The sequence below is a fragment of the Homo sapiens genome, chromosome 2, assembly GCF_000001405.40.
Source record: "Homo sapiens chromosome 2, GRCh38.p14 Primary Assembly".
Taxonomy (NCBI): Eukaryota; Metazoa; Chordata; class Mammalia; order Primates; family Hominidae; genus Homo; species Homo sapiens.
In genome coordinates this window covers 134689563-134715161 of record NC_000002.12, presented here as the reverse complement: position 1 = coordinate 134715161, position 25599 = coordinate 134689563, and the positions used below count along the sequence as shown (strand labels likewise).

General features: G+C 42.4%; 1 protein-coding gene across 1 annotated transcript in view, besides 1 other annotated feature; it reads left to right on the top strand.

The window, feature by feature from the left end:
- TMEM163 (transmembrane protein 163) overlaps positions 1 to 25599 on the top strand; it is a 263242-nt gene that overhangs the window by 3839 nt on the left and 233804 nt on the right. The window contains exon 2 of the mRNA NM_030923.5: positions 1843 to 1962. Within this exon, the coding sequence (NP_112185.1) occupies positions 1843 to 1962 (120 nt within the window). The remainder of the gene's footprint in view (positions 1 to 1842; positions 1963 to 25599) is intronic.
- Positions 597 to 656: a silencer, noted in NCBI's record as "silent region_11977". NCBI's record gives its function as "represses an Ori minimal core promoter by ATAC-STARR-seq in GM12878 lymphoblastoid cells {active_cell/tissue: GM12878}" and the evidence as "EXISTENCE:reporter gene assay evidence [ECO:0000049][PMID:35858748]".

Sequence of the window (25599 nt, the reverse complement as noted above, 5' to 3'; positions counted from 1 at the left end):
ATCTACTTCTCAAAGGAACCTTGTTTTTACCTCAGTGGATGACAATCTGGAGATTGTTGCTGTCAAAATACCTAGCAAACAAACTGCTTATTTGAGCCAGTACTTAAATGTTATAGCTTCACTTCTCCTGAAAATCAATTGGCCATGATGGAAGGAATATTTTTATATCATTTGGGAAAAGGGACATAAATTATTAAGGGTGCGTGGAATCTGCTCATTCTAGGATAGGGCTATAACTGGTGATTGTATAGTTGAAAACTGGAATAGTGTGGTTTTTGGCAGCTAAGGAAGATATAGACAAAGGGACATGCTATATTTTTATTTAAATTACTTGTACCTGGGCAGAATTTGACAAGAGAGAAGGTATTTATTTTTTCCCTCCAAGTCCACTCACAAAGGAAGGTTTGGGGAGATTTTTACAGAGAGAGGATGGTGATGGTGTTTATGCTCAACATTTGCATTTTCATCTCCCTTTTGATTCTGTGTAAGCCTGTGGGTTTCAATTATTTAAAAATCTCTAGGCTGTGAGCTGGGCTCACTCAGCAACCTTCTTGACATTCTGGCTTGTTTTGCTCAGGACTTGTTCAGCGATGCTCAATTCTGGGTTATAAATGGAACTGAGAAGTTTTAGCAGGGTCCTGGCTTTAACTTTTGATCAGGATGTGGTTTTTGGCAACTGGAGGCTTAGTGTGGTACCCAGTTGGATGAATGAGATGGTGTCTTTTATGTGATGCGTAGGTGTGATATGTCTCACACTGTGTGATATTTTACAAATTGGTACCTGAGCTTTCATTACCAATTTCTTCATTCTTTGGAGCTACTCTGATGAGGCTGCTCAACCTCTGAAAGTTGTATTGTGGGTTGTTTCACCAGAGATGGTGTAATAAGCTCCTGTTTATGTAAATGCATGGCTGAAAATGTGGTACTGTGTGCAACTAAGAGATGCTGTATATGATCTACAGTCAAAGGAGAAGGATAAACCTATAAATCAAGACATTCTGAAGACATTTTAGTCTTTGACCCCAGGCAGTTGTGGGCATTGCCTGGGAGTTGTTATGAATTTCTGTTGTTGTCAAGGACTCTCCATGTTGAAAGCATAGGAGATAAAAATAAAATTTGTCTTATACATGGCCTACCTGGGAAGCTACCTCTAGTTTTAGTAGGTTTGCCCCACTTTAATATTCTGAGAATTTTTTGACATGTGCTTGCTAAAAAGGATGTGTATACTATAGAGCAGAAAAAGGAGGGAAGGAAACGTGGCATATAATTTGGGCCTGGAGGCTCTTGCTGGATGTGGTTAAAGAGAAATGGTTCTTCTCCTGATTGTTGGGGGAGCAGTGAGGTCATTTGTAGACTGACTCCTTGCTTTGGGCAAAACCCAGTCCACCAGTTGGGACTGTGCTGGTGAATCAATGCTCACAGCTGAGGAGCCTGAAGGCCCAGCTGAATGTGGGTGGTTTGTGCTGTTTTCCTAACAGAAAGGTCTTGTGGGCAGGAACAGCATCTACCTGAGGCCAAGCAACATAACACAGGGGCAAAGGAATGGCCTGGTGTGGTATGTCAAGGAGTGGTGGGGTCTGTGGAGTTCTTCGAAAGAGGACAGCTGCTGTTACCCTGCAGAAATACACGGCCCATATTGTCAGAGCCTGTGATTTTTCAAGGGGTGCCAGAAAGCTTGATTTTCATGTGAAATCTAATTGTTAAAACACAGTGTGGGCCAAACAAAACACGTCTTGGCCCACGGGCTGTTAGTTTGCAATCTTTGGGTAAGAAATTGTAGCTCTCGCTGTGGGTTTCTTAGTAAGGAAATGTCTAACTTCCCTTTCTCCTTGTTTTTGTCAGGCTTACTAGAAAGCAGCACCCGCCTGAAACCTCACGAAGCCCAGAACTACAGGAAGAAGGCATTGTGGGTGTCCTGGTTCTCCATCATTGTCACCCTGGCCCTCGCGGTGGCTGCCTTTAGTGAGTATCAAGGGTCTCGTCGGCCAATATGTGCTGCTGTTGCCCGTTTTATTCTCTAATTCCTGTGGGATGTGCTTTTGCTTTTAGTTGACTATTATTGATGAGTAAATTTTTTTAGATTGTTGGATAGTCAGGGTACTGATAAATTAGTCAAAAGGCTTTCTTCTCTGCATAGGAAAGGGTGGTAAGAAGATGAGGTGGAGAGTGACTGCGAGCCTTGGCTCTCATCAGTATGCGGGCTTGCGGAAGTAGATGCTGGCTGCTAGCTGAATAGTGAAAATACTCTTGGTGGATGCCTTCAGCTTGGGCTGACATGTGACACATATATATCCTTAAGATTCTTATTTTCAGCCTAATGCAAGAAGATGGGTGCAATATTGCAGCGAGCCCTCTCCTTTTCCCTGATCATATCTGTGTAAGGCTTGGAGGAAAATCCTATGCACACTTTAGTGAAAGGAAAATGGGAGGGTCTTCTGTCAAGTTTTCAGTGGCCGTGGAAACAAAAACATGTATTACAATTAAGAAAAACTAAGGAAGTGGAACAGTTTCTGCCAGATAATCCTGTTTGGGGGTTAGGAAGGCTGATGGCATGTGTTTTCTGGACTAACATTTTGCAGCCTATGGAAATGTATGTGTGCTATTTATTCTTATGAATTGTGCAATGACTCACAAGCCTAAGCAGTGTCAGTTACAGCTCAACCTTGGTAGAAACCCGTGGTGTTTTGTTTTTTTTTTTGATGCGGGGGAAAGACTGCATTTTGTGACGAATTTATTACCTAACAGAAAGATCTATTTTCTCAGTGATAGGCATCACACAAGGTGTCTCCTGTGACAACCCTCAGATTAGGAGAAAAAAAGCACATGTCTGCTAGAAGACAAGCTATGTGTGTGTGTTGTTTAAAATTCTATTCTGCAAGGGTAGATCTGCTGCTGGAAGTTGGGGTTGGCTCCCAAGAGGGAATATTAAAATTTGACCAAATGCTCCCTGCAAAACTAGGCATATATTACTTGAAGCAATTTATATTGGAAACACTATACCACATCTTGGCTCTAAAACAGCCAAACATTTAGAAGTGGAGGGCAATGCATTCCAGAGTATAAACGTTTTTTACCGGTGAGCCAGAAATCTAATCAAGGGGAATTCTGATTCCTGAAAATAGCTACTCCTTCCCCTTGCCCCCACTTTTTTAATGCTGTAACAAGAATAACAAGCTGGATTGATGTCCCTAGGGGATAATTTGGTTGTGGTGGCTGGTGGAGGACTTTGGATCAGACACCATAATTTACATATGCAAAGAAAAAGGAAAGGAATGAAGGGAGGTGATTTACAAACAGAATAATAGTAACTCAGACGTGTCCATGTGCCTGATAAAGCTGTTTTGATTTGTCACGTGGATGTTTGAATGAGGACCTGAATGAGAAGAAATATTGGGCAAGTCTTTCTTCTAGGAGAGTAATATTACATTGGATGTTACTTAAGTCTCATAATAGACAAAAATTATGAGGAAATTTTGGTTTCACATGTTACACCTGATCAGTTGGGCTATCTTAAAAATGTTGTTCATTTCCTTTAATAAAGAAAGACAGTTGCATAGTGCATACAGAATTAGAATGTTGCTTTGTGAAAAGGGCTTCTCTTTCTTTTTCTTTTAAAAATGATTTTACACCTTCATTGCAGCAAGTATTTAATTTAAATCCTCTAACTTCTAGCCAATAAAATGTTGGTATTGGCATATAATATCATGATTTGTGTTATCTATAGTACATTCAATTTGTTCTCACATCACTTTCAGTTTGTTCTGGTTTAGTCAAACTAAAAAATGTAGAAGGTGAATTATATTTTCCTCCACTTTAACTATAGAGTAGCTTTAGTATTTGTGTGTGTGTGTATGTGTTTCATATTTTAAACCCTTGATATGGTCTGTGATTGTGTTGTTAGGGTTGCTGATTTTACTATTTAGTTTCCTAAATGTATTTCTAATATGCAGTATTTAAAATCTCTTCCAAAGCATCATTTATATGGCGCCAGACTTTTGTGAAATTATTTTCCTAGTTTTGAATGGAAATAAATAGAGATTAAGCAATATAAACTGACTTTCGAAGTTATGTTTAAATTAGTGTCTAAAGAAAAATGGAACATTTCAAAATGGCAATAAAGGTTTTTGTAAAGTGTCAAAAAACTCCCAGTCCTACTCTTCAAGGAAGGAGGTAGTTAACAGATGGATGAAACGCAATGCTCTGACTTCCTGCATCTCTGTCCAAACCAGTGAAATGGCCGAGTTGCATCAATTCGTATTTTTAAGAGGATTGCTATAGAATTACTATATATGATGCTTTGGTGTGGCGGGGAAGTTTTGGAGTGTGTGCCTGTGTGTGTTTGTGTTAGCAGGGGGTGTTAATCATGATGAAGAGAAAGCGACTGTATTTATGGACATGGCTTCTTGCTACTGTTGGATGGTGAAAAATTTGGGGCAGGAAGAGCATCCATCCTTGCATGGAATCAGTACTCAAGACTGTAATAAATGAACTGAGAGATTTTTTAACACTTTTTTTTTTTTTAGTTAGGTGGAAGGACAATATTTCTTGGAAAATGATAAATTCTACCTAAAGATTTACATACAAGGCTGAGATTTCATTTATTTTATAAACAATTACAATTTTGGGGGGCAGTTGGGTCATCCTATGGCCATTCTCTTGCTAAGGGAGTTGTCTTGGAGTTGCATCTCCTGGGGTCAGCTGGAGTTCCTGTCTTCACCTCCTCAGCTGCCATTTTCTATTTATTTAATCATAGTTACTGATTTTTAGCTGAGTATCTTCTGAAGAAATGCTGTTGGCTCTTTTGAGTTTGGAAATGAGGAGGGTGGATAGAAGTTGGGGGGCACACCTCTTTTCCTCAGTCAACTGGAAAGATTTGTATTTTTACCTGACATGTACATTGTAGGTTGTGAACCCAAAAGTCTCTGAGACAGGTCTCAATCAATTGAGAAAGTTTATTTTGCCAAGGTTAAGGACGCGCTTTTGACACAGTCTCAGGAGGTCTTAAAAACATGTGCCTAAGGTGGCTGGGGTGCAGCTTGCTCTTATACTCTTTAGGGAGACATAATATATCAATGAATATTTGTAAGATGTATATTGATTTGATCTGGAAAGCTGGGACAACTGGAAGTGGATGGCTTCCAGGTTATAGGTAGATTAAAAAATGTTCTGATTGGCAATTGGTTGAAAGACTTAAGTTATTATCTAAACACCTGGAATCAATAAAAATGAATCTCTGGATTCTGATGATAAGGGGTTATAGAGACCAAAGTTTTATCATGCAGATGAAGCCTCCAGGTAGCAGACTTCAGAGAGAACAGACTGCAAATGTTTCTTATCAGACTTTATGTCTGTGTTGATGCTAATGCTGGTCAGCTTTTCCTGAATTCCAGAAGGGAGGAGGGTACAGTGAGGCACCTCCAAGTCCCCTTTCCCATCACGGCTGGAAACAGCTTTTCAGGTTAACTTTGGAGTGCCCTTGGCTGAGAGGAGAGGGCCATTCAGATGACTGGGGAGCCTTAAAATTTTATTTGCGGTTTACAAGTTAAAGATTGTTACCCTTCATCTCCTATAAGCTTCCAGGTAATCAATATACCATGTCTTCTCAAGTTAGTAGTTTCTAAAAGACCTGATGATAAAACTAGCTTACGTCAGTATTACTGAGTTATTTGTTATAGATCACATATGTAATTATGGTTGGCATTCATATGTCTGGTATAGTTTGAAAAATTAGGTGGACTTTCAAAGTTTGTGCCTTGAGTATGCTTTGAAAGGGATGTGAACTATTTTTTAATGTGAACTATTTTTGATAATACTTGGTAATGTAGTGATTTTGGATCTGTTCAAATGCTGATATAAAACCAGATGGTAATACATCTTGAATATTTCAGAGAGAGCTCTAGTTTGGTTTTAAAATTCATTCTGTTTATAATCGGTAGGCAGCATGGAAAATGGCAATCCTGTTATGAACAAATGTGGAAAAAAAAGTCTGTTTTAATAATGAAGCTAGAAAGAGAACAGAAGTTCTGTTTCAAAACTCAGGGTTTTGACATCACTGATATCTTTGTTACAGTGATTTAGGAAAATGCATTCTGACTCTGTTTTTCAGGTTTGAGTGCAAGTTAATTTTTAGGCACTCAATACATGTTCTGTGGGAAATGAAGACATATTTGAAACATTCTCAGGGGAAAACCTTTCCTAAGATACACAGCTCCGTTAAAAAAGTACTCCAAACCCAGATCTTCTCAGAAAAAGCTCACTCAAAATTAGGTGCAGCTGGCTGGGAGCGATGGCTCATGCTTGTAATCCCAGCACTTTGGAGGCTGGGGTGGGTGGATCATGAAGTCAGGAGTTTGAGACCAGCCTGGCCAATATGGTGAAACCCTGTCTCTACTAAAAAATATACACAAATTAGCCAGGTGTGTTGGCGCGTGCCTGTAGTCTCTGCTACTTGGGAGGCTGAGGCAGGAGAATTGCTCGAATCCAGGAGACGGAGGTTGCAGTGAGCCAAGATCATGCCACTGCACTCCAGCCTGGGTGACAGAGCAAGACTCTGTCTCAAAAAATAAAAATAAAAATAAATAAATAAATAAAATTAAAAAATATATAAAAAATTAGGTGCAGCTGTAGATTTAAGAACTAGAAAAACACCTTGGAAAGAAGTGATTTTCTTTTTAGATGTGGAGATTTTAAAATAATTTATTTGATTTTAATGTAAACTCTTAACCCTTAAAAATGGTAAGATATGTGTTTTTATTCTTTTTCTTTCTAAATTATGAGACTAAGAGTTGAGAGATGGATAAAATGAAATTGCACGATTCTTCTGTAAACTCAGCAAAAAATGTTTGGGAACTTTCTTAGGTGTTCTCTCATCTGACAGACACATTGGGAGACAGAAAAGACATAAGACTCTTCAGATACTTTCTGGTGTGCTGAGTAACATGGAAATAGTTGCAGTGGCCTTAAAGGTCTGGCCTTGGCCAGGCATGGTGGCTCATGCCTATAATCCCAGCACTCTGGGAGGCCGAGGCAGGTGGATCATTTGAAGTCAGGAGTTTGAGACCAGCCTGGCCAACGTGGTGAGATCCTGTCTCTACTAAAAATACAAAAATTTGCCAAGTGTGGTGGTGCGTGCCTGTTATCCCAGCTACTTGGGAGGCTGAAGTAGGAGAATCGCCTGAACCAGGAGGCAGAGTTGCAGTGAGCTGAGATCGCACCATTGCACTCCAGCCTGGGAGACTATGTCTCAAAAAAAAAAAAAAAAAAAGTTCTGGTCTGCCCTGACTTTTGCCCCCCTTTTTTCAGACACCCCAAACTTCTTCTCCTCAGGACTGGAGCCCATGTCCTTTGGGCAACCCATCTCACGGATCTCACATGGCAGCCTCCTCATTGACAACTCCCCTCCCCAAAGAGGCCTCACCAACTGCAGGCGCCCATTCCCCCAGAGCAGTTTTATCCATGACACCGCCAATTTCCTTCATCACAGTTCTTCCCTTTGTGCCCCTCCTGCATGGATGAAGGCTGTGAAGCCCTTGCCTCTTCTGCCCATGTCCCTAAACTTGCCTGTTTCCCCTACCCCTGAAATACTTCCATGACCCAAAGCCTTAACCGTGCAGCTGACATTCTGCATGTGGAATGATCCTTTGCGTAGTTTGCTGGTCGTGTATTTATTTTACTGAAAAAAGCAGAATGTACACAAGATAAAAATTCCTGAGACCAAAGGTGCACAGTCCAAATCTCTGTCCCGTCCTAAAGTCTCTCTCTTCCGCTGGCAGCCTTTGTTACCAGTGTCTTAATTGTTCTTCAGGACATTTTCTGTGCATGTCCAGGCCCAGCTGTGGTGCCTGCCTACACTTCTGGCCGCTCCTCATGTCAGATGTGGCATCTAATCCTTGCTGGACTTTTCACAGCCCCGGGCCTCTTCGCAAGCTCCTGTGTCCACCTCCTTGTATGAGGTGGAACTATTGTGGAGAATCTGCAGGAATGTTTTCCTGCCTAGCGTCCGGCTGCCGCCACTGAAGCAGGCAATGGTGCAGGGGCCAGAGGATGTGGGCAGGAAGTTTGAAAGCCACATCCTGGCGGTGTTCTGAGGGATAAAGTGCTCCCTGTGGGTGTGCTTGGGAACGATAAACCCGGAGGCTGCTTCTGAGAGGTGGGGACCAGGAGGGAGGAACAGGCAGACCAGCGGTTTGGGAACCTTGCTCCGACAACTCTCCCTGCCTTTGCATTCTGTCTTCATACCCTGTGGCCACGTGATCAGGGATTCTGTGCCTGTCACCCTCTGTGCTGTGAGCTCAGACAGCACACGGAGTACGGACGCATATTTCAGACAGGCCCCTTTGGTTACCACGAGGTCCCTCATGATCTTGTCCCCTTCATCCTGGCTGGCCTCACCTCCTCCCATCCCCATGTACTGCAGCCCCCAGAGGCTCCTTGTGGGCCCTACAGGCTGTGTCCTGTTTCTTGCCCCAAACCCACGTACCTGCTCTTCCCTTAGTCTCAGATGCCTTTGGTTTCTGACCTCCATGCTTCTTTTTCTAGCGAAATTTTACTTATCCCTCAAGATCAAGATGAAAGATCACCTTTTCTGGGAAGCCTTCCAGGCTGATTGAAACACCTCCCTTCCCCCATAGCCCCACGGGAACCCATAGATCAGGAACTCGATGCACAATACTTGTATCATTGTGTTATTGCTTTCGGCACTCATGTGCACTCCTCCACACCAGGACCCGTCTTCTTCAGGCGGTGTTGTCAGCCGCTAACACAGTGGAAACTCAGACGCTGGTTGGACCGGAGTCAGTTTTGCCGCCTCCCTGCTTGGGCACTGTGGTTGCAGCAGGCTGAGGATGTACATTTGCAGGTAGAGATCCCAGACAAAGGAAACAAGGAGGGCGTCTTCAACTTTGTAAATGGTGGGGATGCAGGAGCTCATTCTCTCACCCCTCCTCCATGCTGCACTGCCCAGCATCCCCCTAACCCCCGATTGAAGCATCCAGGCTTCTATTGACAGGGACTTGCCTGAGGCTGTTAGGAGGACTCATCTTCCTGAGTCTCCGCTCACAGTGGGCTGCTGTTTCCAGCCAGGAGTGGGGGAGGGGTCTCAGCAGCTGCCTGCCTGCCCTGCCTCCCTTCTCAGTGCCTTCTTCACACAGCGTTTAATTGGAAGCGTGGCCAGGGTGCATTAGCACCCGGTGTCCCTGTCGCACAGCCGTGGCGGTGACACAGGGTAGCTGGGCGGCGAGCCCCAGGTGGGCTCATCTCATGCTCAGGGTCCCTCGTCCCTTCTTGCCTGGGTCCTTGCTGGCAGGGGCCCTTTGGGACATTTGTCAGGGTTTTTCCTCTTGCCTCTCAGTCTTTTTCCAGTCATATTTGTTAAGCAGCTGGGTGAGAAGGGGTTTTCTGGTCTGTGGATATCTCAGGGCTGTAATTTGGTCCTCTAGGAATTGCCTCTGTCAGGTGAATTTCTGCCGTAGCTCTTCTTGGACAAGACGTGACTTCTCAGTGCCTTGTGCTGTGGTTTGAGATGCAGAAATATTGAGACACAGAAGGAACAGAGGAAGCCGGGGTAGGAAGGGAACCCCTGCTCCTACCCCAGCAGGGGAAACTCTTGCTCCCTGTCCACCTTCTCCCATGCCTGACGGCCATGCCTCCTTCCCATTGGCGAATGTGGGAAGTCCAAGATCAATATGTCAGCAGGGTTGGTTTTCTTCTGAGGCCTCTCTCCTTGGCTCATAGATCGCCGTCTTCTCCCTGTGTCTTTGTGTGGTTGTCCCTCTGTGTGTGTCTGTGTCCTCATTTCCTCTTACTATGAGGACACCAGGCATATGGATTAGGGCCCACCTTAATGACCTCACTTGAACTTAATTACCTCTTTAAAGACCCCATCTCCAAATACAACTGCATTTTTGGGGTACTGGGGGTTAGGGCATCAACATTTGAATTTTTTTTTTTTTTTGAGATGGAGTCTTGCTCTGTCGCCCAGGCTGGAGTGCAGTGGTGCGATCACAGCTCACTGTAACCTCCATCTCCCAGGTTCAAGTGATTCTCCTGCCTCAGCCTCCCGAGTAGCTGGGATTACAGGCACATGCCACCATGCCTGGCTAGTTTTTGTATTTTTAGTAGAGCCGGGGTTTCGCCATGTTGGCCAGGCTGGTCTCGAACTCCTGACCTCAGGTGATCTGCCCCCACTCAGCCTCCCAAGGTACTGGGATTACAGGTGTGAGCCACCACACCCGGCCTCAACATTTGAATTTTGAGGACACACAGTTCAGTCAGTAACAAATGCTTTGGCCAGCACCAAGCAGATAGAGGAAACTAGTAACAAATTCCTTAAAAGGACTTTACCTTCAATGAAAGGGTGGACCAGAATAAATACCTCTAGCAGCCCAGAGATAATGAAGAGCTCATCTGTGTCAGAATAATTCTGTGTGGGCTGAGGAGGGGAAGAGCGTGGGGGAGCCTTCACTGGAATTCAGAACCATGAGACTGACCTCATGTACATTTGTGTTTGGAATTTTCGTAGGTCGATACCCTGGGGAATAGACTCGGAGACTCAGCTTCCCTCCAGGAGGTTTATTGGCAGTGGGGCGAGGGACTAAGGGAGACTCTCAGGAAGAACACCTGCAGGGAGCCAGGACTGGCAGAGGGGAGGTTGAACTGCAGTGTTGTTGCCTTAGAGGCTTGTCCCACACGGACCTGGAAGCTGAGATGGCTTCCAGGTGAAGCATGGGGACCAGACCAGTCTTTGGTGTGGGCTGCCGCAGGGACATGTACAACCACGGGGAGGCAGCGTCCTTCAGTGGAGGGGGATTCTGGGAAAGGGATGCAGCCATCAGCAGCCCTCATTCCTGGCAGCTGGGGAAATGAGTGCCCAGGTCCAGGAGGAGAATTTAGGAGACACACCAAGGCATCTGCTCTGGGAATGTATACCCTGCACTTAGCTTGGGGGCCCTCAAGCTGAGATAGTAACATGGACATGGTCCTAGGTTGGAAATACCCCTGGAGCACCTGAAAGAAGCAGGTGCAGAAGAACTTTGACCAAGGCCCAGTAGGTGTCCCATGGAGGCAGCCCCACCAAAGATGAGCTCACAATCCAATATTAGAAAGCTCCTGAGCAGGGGACCCACCATGATTGAGTGTCATACAGATAGCGTGATTAGACCTGAAATTCTAGGTGAGAGAAGTAGCTGACAAAATCCGTAAAATAAGTGTGTTTAATATGAGTAGAAAATAAAAAAGGAATCAAATATACAAATGCTGAAAAGAGCAGCTGGAGAATAACCAAATAAAGATATTTTCGATCTTTTTTTTTTTTTTTTACTTTCTAACATGGATGTAGTTATAAGAACGTTAAGAATGACAGCAGCCCCCATTCTCCATCCCTCTCTCTTATTTCCCCCTCATTCTCTCCCAGCAAGCTCTTCACCTCTTGTAGTTAGTTCCTGTATTTACTTGTGTAAATAACAGGGTTCCAATGCTAACTCTTAATTTGTTTTTCAAGTTTAGGCATTATTTGTTAACTTCCCCAAATGGAAGGAAATAATTTACTCTTTTATACTCCTGGCCCCACACAAGCAGACTGACTTCCTGCATTTCCATCCTTGTATTGTAGTTATGGTTTTCATTATTATGACTATGTAAATCCTCCTCCTAGAGCCATAGGGTGAAGTATGATGACTTCTTTCTTGTACAATTTTTTTTCTGGATTTCATATCTGTTTTGTTTATTCCTATGTTTACTTTTCTATGAATTTATTTCTTATTAACTTTCATTCAGCATTTCTTTTCTAACCTCAGCTTCTCTGTGATATTTTCAGATGCAGAGGTAATTCTATTGGTTTCTTCCTGAAGAAACCTCTCATGGAGCACCTGACCTCCTGTAACCGGTTCTGATTGCCCATTTCACCTGGTGCACAGCTGCATCCCAGACTCTTCCTTCCCCACTTTTTTTGGGATTTCCTTTATTTTTCTCTTCTGTTGGACCCCCTGTTTCCTGGATACCATGTTTTTCTCTTCTCTGGCTTACTCCCTTTTAGGGGGAACACATCTACTCCTAGCTCCCTAGGTAAGGTCACATGGGAGGTGTAGCTTTCAAACCATGTAAAGCCTGAAATGTCTTCAGTATATCCTGACACTGGATTGACAGCTGGATAGAAAATTCTCAGTAACAAATAATGTTCCCTTAGAGTTCTGTACACTTTGCTTCATTTTATTGTCATTTGTAGTGTGGCTATGAAAGTCCTAAGATCTTCTGAAACTTACACCTTTGCATGGGACCTGCTGTGGTGGGGGCTGTTTTATCCATACACACCCTACTTCCTATTTCTTTGTCTTTTTGTTCTACTTCCTGGGAAATTTAATCACCTTTATATTCCTACCTTTCTATTGAGCTTTTTCATTTCCATTATTAAGTTAAAAAAATTGTCTGAGTGTATTTCTTTAAAAAATTTTCCAGCTCTTGTTTTGTGGATCTTTTTTGAAAATTTTTTTTATTTTTAATTAATTAATTTATTTTTTATTTTTAGACAGGATCTCTCTCTGCCACCCAGGCTGGAGTGCAGTGGCACAATCACAGCTCACTGCAGCCTTGACCTTCCAGGCTTAGGTAATCCTCCCACTTCAGCCTCCCAAGTAGCTGGGACTACAGGGGCGTGCCACCATGCCCGGCTAATTTTGGAATTTTTTGTAGAGACACGGTTTCACCTTGTTGCCCAGGCTGGTCTTGAAGTCCTGGGCTCAAGCAGTCTTCCCACCTTAGCCTCCCAAAAGTGTTGGGATGACAGGTGTGAGCCACTGCTCCCCTGGTTGGATCTTTTTAATAGCGGTTATCTTTCTGAAAATATTTGTGATGGTTAAAAAATACTTTTCCATTTCTTGCATTGTCTTCCTCCAGGTGCTTCTTTCCCCTGTTGCTTTGGACTCATCATTCATGTTAGGGGAGGAATCCTATGAGTGTGGTCCTAGATAGTCTGTTCTTGTTAAAAATAGGTCATTAAAAGGCTGTTCTGAGCTCCGAGCATGTCGGCAGTGTTCACTGTAGGGTGACATGTTGGACTGTTTTGTTGGTGGATTCCAGTTTTAAACTTTCAGATCCTTCTTTTTGGGCTACCCAGGCTTCCCTGAGATGGTTACTCTGAGCCTCTGCTTTGAAGGTGAACTCCTGACTGCTTGAATTTTGGGAGCTGAGTTGGGGAAGAGGATGGAGATTTCAGCCTTCTGTTTGAAATTCTTTTTTTTTTTTTTTTTTTTTGAGACAGTTTTGGTCTTGTCTCCCAGCCTGGAGTGCAGTGGCGTGATCTCAGCTGTCTGCAACCTCCGCCTCCCGGGTTCAAGTGATTCTCCTGCCTCAGCCTCCCAAGGAGCTGGGATTACAGGCATGTGCCACCACGCTTGGCTAATTTTTATATTTTTAGTAGAGATGGGGTTTTACCGTGTTGGCCAGACTGGTCTCGAACTCCTGAACTCCTGACCTCAAGTAATCCGCCCACCTCAGCCTCCCAAAGTGCAGGGATTACAGGCATGAGCCACTGCGCCTGGCCTGAAACTCTTAGCCACTTTGAGTTTGGTTTCCCCATCTTTGGCTGAGTTTGGTATGCCTCAAAGAAGAGATTGTTGCACCTTCTCCAGAGAAAAATCCTCCAATAATCCAATAGGAGAGTTGGGGATGAGTGGGTATTGCCCTTCTGGGCAGAGCTGGGGAGGGATTCTGGAGAACTCTTTTTTACACAGGCTTTGAACAAACCTCCCTATTGCCAGTCTTCTCTTTATTATACTGTGCTACCAATTTCTGTTTTATTGGGTGTCCTGAGGTGTAAATTGGGTTGCCTTTTTGCTTTCACACTGCTGTGTTAGGAGTTTGCTTTCTGGAGTCTGTTAAATCAATTACCACTTGCCCATATGCTTTCTAGCTTCTAAAAATTGTTTTTGTTGCCTTTTCCATTTTCTTTTTTTTTAAATTCACTCTGATTTCTTTCTAATTTTTATGGTTTTACTTTTTTATATTTAACTTTTTAATTTGTTTTGAATTTACTTTGGAGTACCAAAACAACATGTTTAGTGTCTTTGTACATCGTCTGAGCTCCAGATCTGTGCTTCCAACTGCTGGTTAGACCATGTGGACCGTCTCTATGCCCCATGCATCTGCATTCATCTAGTTTTCTGGAGGGGTCTCTTCCATTTTTTTTTAAACTAATGGGTTTGTCTTTTTATTTTTTACTTTATTTATTTATTTATTTATTTATTTATTTATTTATTTATGTATTTTCGAGACAGAGTTTTGTTCTTGTCACCCAGGCTGGAGTGCAGTGTCACGGTCTCTCAGCTCACTGCAACCTCTGCCTCCTGGGTTCAAACAATTCTCCTGCCTCAGCCTCCCAAGTAGCTGAGATTACAGTCACCTGACACCACGCCCAGCTGATTTTTGTATTTTTAGTAGAGATGGGGTTTCACCATATTGGCCAGGCTAGTCTCGAACTCATGACCTCAGGTCATCCGCCCGCCTTAGCCTCCTAAAGTGCTGGAATTACAGGCATGAGCCACCGTGCCTGGCTGGATTCATCTTTTTAAAAACACCCCTCTGTTCTTAGTTTAGTGGGGTTTTTAGAGGAAGCAAAAGTACATGAGGAACCATCCTGCGATATTTCCCTGGAAGTGTCAGAAGAACAATTTGTAATGAAAAATATAGTATGTGAATCAGAAACCAATGAGGAATAACTAGAGAATCGAACTCTACATCAGAGGAGCTTATCCAGAATATGGAACAGGGATTCTCAAGTTCACGTTTACTAAAAAACATGGAGGATAGGATAAGCTCCAATACAAACAAGTAAGAATTCCAAAAGCAGAAAAGAGAGGAAATAGAAAATAGTCAGTGTTTTTAGAGGCATCTGAAACTGTTTTGGAGCTGATGGGAGGGATGGGGTACATACCTTTCAAATCATTAGATGGAGAAAAAGAATTAGGAAACTTCCCTTAATCAGTAGACAGCAGAAGTGAAATACATAATACAAATAGCATAGAAAGTGCAAAATAAAATGTAGAAACAAATCCAGATGTTTCAGAAATTATCAAAAGTGTAAATGAATTAAAGCTATCAGGTAAAAGTCAGAGATAGATTGCATTAAAAAAAAATCAAGCTGTATGCTGTTAATAGGAGACAAATTTAAAACGTAAGACCACAGAATTCCTTAAATGTAGGGATAGAAGAAGATGATCTGGCAAATAATAACAAGATAAAGTTGATGTAGCTATTTAATTAGTGAAAATAGATTTGAAAACAAAAAGCATTATTAGGCATAAAGGGTGTTACCATATAAACAAAAGTTCCAACCACCCAGAAGATAAAACATTTGTGAATTTGCATATACCAAACAACAAAACCCCAGAGCACTCAAACAAAAATTGATGGGATTATAGGTAGAAACAGACATATCATAATTACAGTGGTAGACTTTAATGCACCTCTTTTACTAGTTGATAGATAAAAAGAAAAAAAATTCATGAAAATATTGAAGATTTGACTTGTGGAATTCAGTGTTTTTCAAACACTTTTGACTGCCATCCATAACAGGGAATGCATATGTGATGTAGAATATATCAGAATATGTAAACTTATGTGGTTATATACTCTATGTCATCATATCTACAACATTTTTTTTTTTTTTGAGATTGAGCCTTGCTTTGTTGCCCAGGCTGGAGTGCAGTGGCACAGTCTTGGCTCACTGCAACCTCTGCCTCTTGGGTTCAAGCGATTCTCCTGCCTCAGCCTCCCAAATCGCTGGCACTACAGACGTGTACCACACGCCTGGCTAATTTTTTGTATTTTTAGTAGAGACAGTGTTTCACCATGTTGGCCAGCCTGGTCTCGAACTCCTGATCTCAAGTGATCTGCCCGCCTTGGCCTCCCAAAGTACTGGGATTACAGGCATGAGCCACCATGCCTGGCCACTCTACAACACTTTTGATTATAATACGCTACGTGATTTTTTGTACTAGAAAATAAAATAATTGCTGCTATTGAACTGTGCGCTATGCTAGTCATTCTGTGAGCTATTAATACTTGATTCCAGAGTTGTTAAAATGTGAAAAAAATTTCACTTTGATAATTTCTATCCTTTTTCATTTAAAAAAAGTGCTGGTCACATCCTACCAAATTCATTTTATGCCTTACTAGTGAGTTGTTACCCTTTAGTTTAAAGAATATTGATCCAGTGGCTCAATGTGGAGCCATGCATCCAATAAGGATGTTTGCACATTATGGAATATTTGTAAAAGGTGACTGCTTCCATCATATGCAAGCGAATTCTCATCACATTCCTAAGGATGTGCATTTTACAATGTTCTCTGACCACAGTGCAATAATAATTTGAAATCAAATATAGCTAAAATACCTGTACATATCATAATACATGTTGGGAAATTAAGCAACACATTTCTGAATAGTTCAAGGATAAAATTTATATTAAATATTAAACAATATTTAGAGCTTACAATGAGAAATTGAAAGTTGATAAACAAAACTGTCCAAAACAAGAAGATAAGAAACAGAAAAAAACTGTAAATGCAAGATAAATAGAAGAAAGGAAACAAAACTTTGAAGAATACAAATAAATGAAAGAGAAAAAGATATGAGAAATCAACAAAACTAAAAGCTGTTTATTTTAAGACTAATAAAATGGGCTTAACTCTGGTAAGATTGAATGAAAAAGAAAAGAAATGAGTGAAAGGTAATTAGAAGTGAAATGAGGAGTGTAATTAGTAATACGAGAAAATTTAGGAAATGAGACCATTATTTACAATTGTATGCCCATAAATTTGAAGACTTGGATGAAGTGCATAGTTTACTAGAATAACTTGCCATGAATGGTTTATGACCATTAAAGATGTTAATCCAAGACGGTAGTTCATGATCAGAGGTGATTTTGCACCCCCTCCCTTCCCTGGAGACATCCAGCAATGTCAAGAGACACTTCTGTTTGTCACAGTTGGGAATGGAGGTGCTACTGGTATCTACTGGGTGGAGGGCAAGAATGCTGTTAAACATCGTAGAGTACACAGGACAGCCCCTCACAGCAAAGAATTATCTGGCTCAAAATGTCAGTGGTGCCCATGGTTGAGAAACTCTGATCTAGGCCAGCAGTGGCTTTATGAGTGCTTTTATGAATGTTCAAGGATCAGATAATCCCAATCTCATGCACTCCATTCTACAGAAAAAGAAGGAAAGCTTCCTATATCATTTTGGGACTACTACTACTGTGATACCTAAATCAAAGGCAACAGAGAATTTATAGGTCAGTATCACTCATGAATATAGATACAAAAAGTCTTTAATAAGATATTTGCAAACTAAATCTCATTGTGTTTATATAAAAATAAATAAATAAATGAACATGCTCACCACATGTGTTTATTTTTGGAATCTAGGATGATATAATCAGAATGTTTATTATGTAATTTACCATGTTCATAAAAGGTCAGGAGTTCGAGACCAGCCTGGCCAACATGGCGAAACCCCGTCTCTACTAAAAATGTAAAAATTAGGTGGGCATGGTGGCAGGCACCTGTAATCCCAGCTACTTGGGAGGCTGAGGCAGGAGAATCACTTGAACCCGGGAGGCGGAGGTTGCAGTCAGCTGAGAGTGCACCACTGCACTCCAGCCTGGGTGACAAGAGTGAAACTCCATCTCAAAAAAAAAAAAAAAAAATTGAGAAGAAACCTATAGTATCTCTCAATACAAAAAGCATTTGGTAAAATTCAAGACAAGATAAAAACTTTTAGCAACCAGGCTGGGAATTGCTGATAAAGGTTATTTAACCTAAAATATTAATTGTAACTGGTAAATTAGGCAGACTCAGCCCATAAAAATCTAAAATGAAGATAAGGACGTCTGCTGTTACCACTTCTCCTTATTATTATACGTGATGTCCTACCCAGTATAGTAGGGCAAGCAAAAGAAAGAAAGGTACTGTATATGGATTGGGGAGGAAAAAAGTAACCATCATTGCTTGTGGATATTATAGTTTACATAGAGCTTTATAGATATTATAGTCAATATAGAGCTTTCCATAGCTCTACATAGAAAAGCTAAGGGAAGCCGGGCATGGTGGCTCACACCTGTAATCCCAGAACTTTGGGAGGTCAAGGTGGGCAGATCACCTGAGGTCAGGAATTCGAGACCAGCCTGGCCAACATGGCGAAATCCCCTCTCTACTAAAAATACAAAAATTACCTGGGCATGGTGGCGGGTGCCTGTAATCCCAGCTACTCGGGGGGCTGAGGAAGGAGAATCGCTTGAACCTGGGAGGTGGAGGTTGCAGTAAGCTGAGATCATGCCACTGCACTCTAGCCTGAGTGACAAGAGCAAAACAAAAGAAAAGCCAAGGGATTCTGCAGATACTATTAGAAGTAAGAAATTCCAACAAAGCTGCTGGGGATGGGTAGAAGTTTAATATACTAAAATCAAATGTATTCTTATATAATAGCAACACAGCAATACATTTTTAATTTTCATAATGATGTCATTTCTCATAGCAACAAACCAAAAGGAATAAATCTAATATAGGTATAATTCCTTCATGAAGAAAATTATAAAATGCTATTAAAATGATAAAATAAGATCTGAATAGAGAGAAATCTCATGTTCAGAGCTGGGAAGACAATCTAATAAGGATGTCATTTCTCCTTATATTAACCCTAATACATGCAATTTCACTAAGAATTCCAATAGGCTTTTTCCAGTGCAGTTGGTAAGCTCTGAAATGTTGATGGAGGAATAAAGGGCTAAGAATAGTCAAGATAATTTTCAAGAACAAGGTGCATATATATCTCAAAACTTCTAAAACTAGGGCAGTTGAGATTGTGATATTTTTAGGAACAAATAGACCAGGAAAGTTGAATAGGGAGTCCAGAAATAGTAACCACATATATGGAAATTGGATATGTGAGAGAGGTAGCATCACACATCAGGGAGGGAAATAATGATACCACCACAATTGGCTGTCTATATGGAAAAACTAAAATAAGTTTGTACCTCCCACATATACAAATATAAATTCCATGTGATTTAAGAAACTAAACCTGAAAAGAAAGAATTTAAACCTTTTTTTTTTTTTTTTTGAGACGGTGTCTTTCTCTTGTTGCCCAGGCTGGAGTGCAATGGCATGATCTCGACTTGCTGCAACCTCCGCCTCCTAGGTTCAAGAAATTCTCCTACCTCAGCCTCCTGATAGCTGGGATTACAGGCACCCACCACCACGCCTGGCTAATTTTTTGTATTTTTAGTAGAGACGGGGTTTCGCCATATTGGCCGGGCTGGTCTGGAACTCCTGACCTCAGGTGATCTGCCTGCCTTGGCTTCCCAATTACAGGCATGAGCTACCATGCCCAACCAAAACTTTTAAACAATAATATGAGACTCTCCATTTGACCTGGAAGTAAAAGAAAGGCTTTTGAATTTAAGACACAGAAAGCACAAACCATGAATAGAAACTTCAAAAAATTTAACTTCAAGCTGACTAAGAAGAACTTTGGGCACAGAAAACACTATATAAAACAACTGTATCTTGGTAATAGCTCTTCTGGGTTAACTTTTTTCAGGTAAAAGGTAGTTTCATGTCTTTCTAGTTCAAGAAAACTACAGTTTTTATAGTATTTGTTCTGTTCTGTTGCTTTGATTTAATTCCTTAGGGATTTATAATGTATGTGTATGTTGGCTCTTTTTTGCTTGTCATTTTTATCTAGTATTTTTTTCCACATCATTTTTATTTTTCATTTCTTTTTGATTAAAAATTTGCCCGGGCACGGTGGCTCACGCCTGTAATCCCAGCTACTGGGAGGCCGAGATGGGTGAATCACCTGAGGTCAGGGGTTCGAGACCAGCCTGGCCAACATGGTGAAACCCCATCTCTACTGGAAATACAAAAAATTAGCCAGGTGTGGTGATGGGCACCTGTAATCCCAGCTACTCAGGAGGCTGAGGCAGGAGAATTGCTTGAATCCGGGAGGCGGAGGTTGCAGTGAGCCGAGATTGAACCACTGCACTCTAGCCTGGGTGACAGAGCGAGACTCCGTCTCAAAAAAAATTTTTTTTTCCTCCTTTCCATCATTTAGTTCTCTAAAAGTATTAGCTTTGTTATTGGTTTTGCTATTTTAGTTTTTCTGATGTCTTTAAGGAGGAATTCAGGGAAATAAAAAAACTTTCACCACCAGTTTTTTTCTTTCCAGAAAACCGTGGAGTTTGTATTTCTTTTTACCTGGGTTCCTTTTACATTATGCTTTTATTTATCCCGGGAGATTTCTGGCATTCCAGTTAATTATACTTAGAGACATTGTAGTATTTTTAGATGTCAGTTGATCTTTGTTCATTTGATAAAGTACATTTTCAAAATGGAAACTTTCTGCTATATTTTTTAAAGAATAATGTGTGTATATAGTCATTTTGTGAGAGTTTGGATCTAATCCCAGGTTATTCTTCAGTGTGAATGAGGAGATATGGTATCAGAACTGAATAGATATTTATTACAGAGTAATTGATGTACCAGTCTCCTGAAAGGAGAAGCTTAAACTTTACATGTCCCATAAAGAGAGCATTCTTAGGGAATGAATTCTGCATTACAAAAGATGGCCATTTTTTTATCCAAAGCAAGGACAGATGTGATTTATTTCTGGTGAAATAAGTTCTTAGTGGTAAGTAAATCTCAGTACCTTTAAGTGATAAAGTCACCATGATAATGACACTAGTCCTTTAGTTCTCCAGTATGGGCAGTGCCATTCTTCCCAGATGCCATCATTAGAGATTCGTTACCCTCTTTAGGTCAATTCCAATAGTTCTTCAGCTTTTGTTTGAATACTTCTAGTACTGGGATTCTAATAACTTAGCGAGACCCAGTTTATGTTGCCCAGTCCCAATTTCAGAAAGCTTTTTAAATGGTTAATTGAATGGTTTACCTTTTTCTAACTCCTCTTTTATAGTCATTATTTTCTTAGCTAACACTTAGCAAGCACATAGTATGCTGGGCACTGTGCTAAGTGCTTCCCACAGATCACACTTCATTCTTGCAACATTGCCCTGAGGTAACATTATCATCCCCACTTTGTAGATGGGGATTTTAAGACTCAGAAAAGTTAGGGAGCTTTCCTAAGTTTCCAAGCTCATAAGAGATAGAGTATTCACACTCTGCCCTACTTGACTCAGAGCCTCTACTCTCAACCATGGGACCCATCTCCATTGTTCACAAGACAGATCTGCAGTGCGAGCTTATTGTGTTGTTTTGTCACCTCTTCCAAAGACTGAACATCCCCAGACTCTTCAGCTGTTCCTCATGTAGGAGGAAACCCACTCTCCTGGCCAACCTTGTCTGGACCTAAAGGTGTCCTGTTTAAAGCAGTGCCCAGAGGTGTCTTCTAAGTCATGTCATCAACAGAGAATATAGTAGACCTGCTATCTGACAGGTATGGAATTCACAGTAATTCCTACCAAAGCAGGTCAAGGTTGATTTGTTTTTAAAAGCTCCATCATGCTGTAGGCTCAGTTTCAGGTTTTTTTTTTTTTTTTTTTTTTGATGTAGTTTTTGCTCTTGTTGCCCAGGCTGGAGTGCAGTGTTGCAATCTTGGCTCACTGCAACCTCTGCCTCTTGGGCTCAAGCAATTCTCCTGCCTCAACCTCCTGAGTAGCCAGGATTACAGGCACATGCTTCCATGCCCGGCTAATTTTTTTCTATTTTTAGTAGAGATGGGGTTTCGCCATGTTGGCCAGGGTGGTCTCGAACTCCTGACCTCAGGTGATCCACCCGCCTTGGCCTGCCAAAGTGCTGGGATTACAGGCATGAGCCACCACGTCTGGAAAGGTTTCAGTTTTTGATCACCTACAATTGCTGGAGTTTTAAACCAATGTTAAAATTTATTTTTTTAAATGTCTTACTCTTCAAGCAGGGCCCATATCAGTATCTGCTAATACTCAAGGTTTCTGGATGAAGAGGGAGAGTAAAGAGTTCCAGAGCCTAGAGGGTGGGGAGGGCAGAATCTCTAAAAGAAATAAGGGATTAGAGACAAAGCAAGGGTTCTGTGGCACTGTGGAGGCTGAGGCACAGGGGGGTCCAGAGATGTCTTCAGTGTGAAGATGCTGGGTTATGGCCTGGCAGTACTTTGGGAAGGAGACAACTGATGATCAGTTGGAAACCTGCAACTGGAACGTGACTGAGGTGCTGGAAGAAAGATGGATTTGGGAGTGTTTTGCTTTAGGGCAATGACTGAGGCAATGTGGTGGATGGGTGAAGTAGCCTGGGATCATGAGGAGGAGAGAGGAACTGCTTTGGACTGAATTGTATTCCTCAAAATAAATATGTGAAGCTGTCACCCACAGTGTGATGGTATTTGGAGGGGGAGGCTTTGGGAGGTGGCTCAGTTTACACAAGGTCATGAGGATGATGAGGTGATGAGGGCAGGACTCTCGTGATGGGATTGTGCACTTATAAGAAGAGACACCAGAGGGCTTGCTTCTTCTCTGCCTCCACCCTCTGCACTGAGGAACGGCCGTGTGAGGACGCAGTGAGGAGGCAGCCATCTGGAACCCACGGGGAGCCCTCCCCAGACACCAACCCTCCCAGCCCCTGGATCTTGGACTTCCAGCCTCCAAAGCTGTGAGAAATAAATTCATGGTGTTGAAGTCCCCCAGCCTGTGGTATTTTGTTATGGCAGCCCAAGCAGACTAAGGAGGGGAAACGGCAAAGGACAGAATTTGGAGAATGACTTCTCTTGGGGTAGGAAGATGATAAGGAACTAGTGGAAGACATAGAGGTCAGAAAAGTTGAAGGGAATGTATTCATTTTCTCTGGCTGTTGTAACAAATGACTGCAAACTTGGTGGCTTCTAATAACAAGATCTATTTATTCTTTCACATTTCTGGAGACCAGAAGTCCAAAATCAGGATCGCTGGGCTGAAGTGAAGGGTCAGCAGGGCTGTGCTCCTGCAGAGGTGTAGGGAAGAATACTTTCTTTGTTTCTTCTGTTCTTGGTGGCTGCTGGCATTCCTTGGCTCATGGGCATATCACTCCAGTCTTTAAGGCTGGCATCTTCAAATCTCTCTCTACTTCTCCCTGTGTCAAATCTCCCTCCACCTGTCTCTTATGAGGACACTTGTGATGGCATTTAAGGCCCACCTGGATAACTCAGGGTCATCACTCCTGCTACGGTTCTGAAATTAATCACATCTGCAAAGATATCCACTGCAGCCCCTGCCTCAATCCTATTTGTTGCTTATTAAGGTAACGTGCACAGGTTCTAGGGATTAGGATGTGGAGCAAGGATTGTACAAGGATACAGAAAGGCAAATACAACACTTCAAGAAGGTGTGACCAGCGATGTTACATGCCAGCCAGGGTCAAGGCTGAGGAGACTGTTCATTGGAGTTGGTGTTTAGGATGTCACTTTGTGACTCTGCAGAGAACATTTTGTCAGAGTGGTAAACAAGGAAGCCAGGTTGCCAAGAGATGGGCATGAGCATTGGAGAAGGAAAGGGACTGTCAGCATAGTGCTGTCTATTGGAGAAGCCTGGCGGCACCTAGGGTTGTCTGACAAGGGTGTACGTGCGCATGTGTGCATGTCTGTATGAGCATGTGTATGTGTACATGCACGTGTGTGTGTATTTACAATAGAGTTGTTTGGAAATACAATGAATAACATTCATTTTCTCTTCCCAAGTTCAGAACCAGAGAGGAGTCAAACAGAGGGAAAGCAAAATATCAGCTTCATGGCTGAGAAACCCGGATTGGAGAATGGGGCTCTCAGTACAGCCACAAGGGCTTCTTGATGTTTGGTGCCTACGCTAGGCAGACTCAGTGACTTGACTGCTCCTCCAGGGACACGGGTCTACTTGTGGAATGACAGGTGCTGACTTGAGATCCCCTTTTCTGCAGAAGGCCAGCAGCAGAGAGATGAAGAGGGGGCTTTGCTACCCTTGTTCTTGGAACTCACCAGGCATTTTGATTTCTCCCCTGTTCTCCCCAAAGTCCTGCTCTGGGAGAGTTGGCTGCTCCCTGCTGAGGCCCTCACTGCTGTTTGTATGAACCACTGCCCTCCTATTTCCCCAGTGATTGGCAGAGTGCCTCCCCCACCCCTGACTACCATTCCCGCCAGCCACACTGTGAGCGCCTGGAGTGTGGGACCTGATCTCCTCCGTTTTGTCACCCACCCCTGGGGCACCGATTGCCTGGACCAGGTAGATGGGTAGTCAGGGTTTCTTGAATAAATGAATGAGGAAGTTGTCTCTCAAAGTCGTTATCCAGGGCCCTGTCTTTACTTTAGTAGTGTATTTCCGTTTCACTGATATTTGCATTTTGCTAGTATTAGGCTTTACACTGGTGGGAATGGCCACAACTGTGATTATACAAGGTCTAATTAGTCAGCCTTGAGAATAGCTGTGTAAAGAAAGCCAAAGTCATGAAGTTCTTAATTGTGTCAGAGGGAAGGATTGGGTTTTTTCATAGTTTGCTCAAGGCTCTGAAGAATTCAGTGGCTTTTCTTGTGGTAAATGAAATCCATCCTTCACCTTGATTTGTGACTTTTCTCCTTTATAAATTGCCGATATAGGCTGAGTGCGGTGGCTCATGCCTGTAATCCCAGCACTGGGAGGCTGAGGCTGGCGGATCACTTGAGGTCAGGAGTTCAAGACCAGCCTGGCTATCATGGTGAAACCCTGTCTCTACTAAAAATTAAAAAATTAGCCAGGTATGGTGGCACACACTTGTAATCCCAGCTACTCAGGAGGCTGAGGCAGGAGAATTGCTGGAACCCAGGAGGTGGAGGTTACAGTGAGCCAAGATCATGCCACTGCACTCCAGCCTGGGCAACAGAGTGAGACTCTGTCTCAAAAAAAAAAAAATTGCTGATGTAGGTAAAGTTTGATAACTTGATGGATATCCAGTGTATATAAATGCAAAGAGGCCGGGTACGGTGGCTCACCCCTGTAATCCCAGCACTTTGGGAGGCCGGGGCGGGTGGATCACTTGAGGTCAGGAGTTGGAGACCAGCCTGGCCAACATGCCGAAACCTTGTCTCTACTAAAAATACAAAAATTAGCCAGGCATGGTGGTGCGTGCCTGTAGTCCCAGCTATTTCAGAGGCTGAGGCACGAGAGTTGCTTGAACCTAGGAGGTGGAAATTGCAGTGAGCCGAGATCACACCACTGCATTCCAGCTTGAGTGCCAGGGTGAGACTCTGCCTCCAAAAACAAACAAACAAACAAACAAACAAACAAACCGCAAAGGAGCAAGTTGACTTTTACTTTTGGGCTCTGCATGCCGTTCTTTGGAGAAACCACATTTTTGATGGGGACCTATATTTGCTTGGGTGTTTATTTGAAATAAAGTTAAAATGTGTAACTTTGTGGTACATTTGGCTGTTAAAATTTAGGAAGCCATAACATTTGGTCATAAAAGCACAAGCTATTAGTTTTTCTAACTGTATCTTTTCCTCTGAACTCATTCATGTGCACTAGGGAGAGATGAACTGTGAACGTTTCCCCCACCTCTCTCATCTTGTTTTCCTCAAGGAAGCCCCATCCCTGAAGCAGGCCTCCCTGGAAGTTTCTGGACCTCTGAGTTCCTTTGA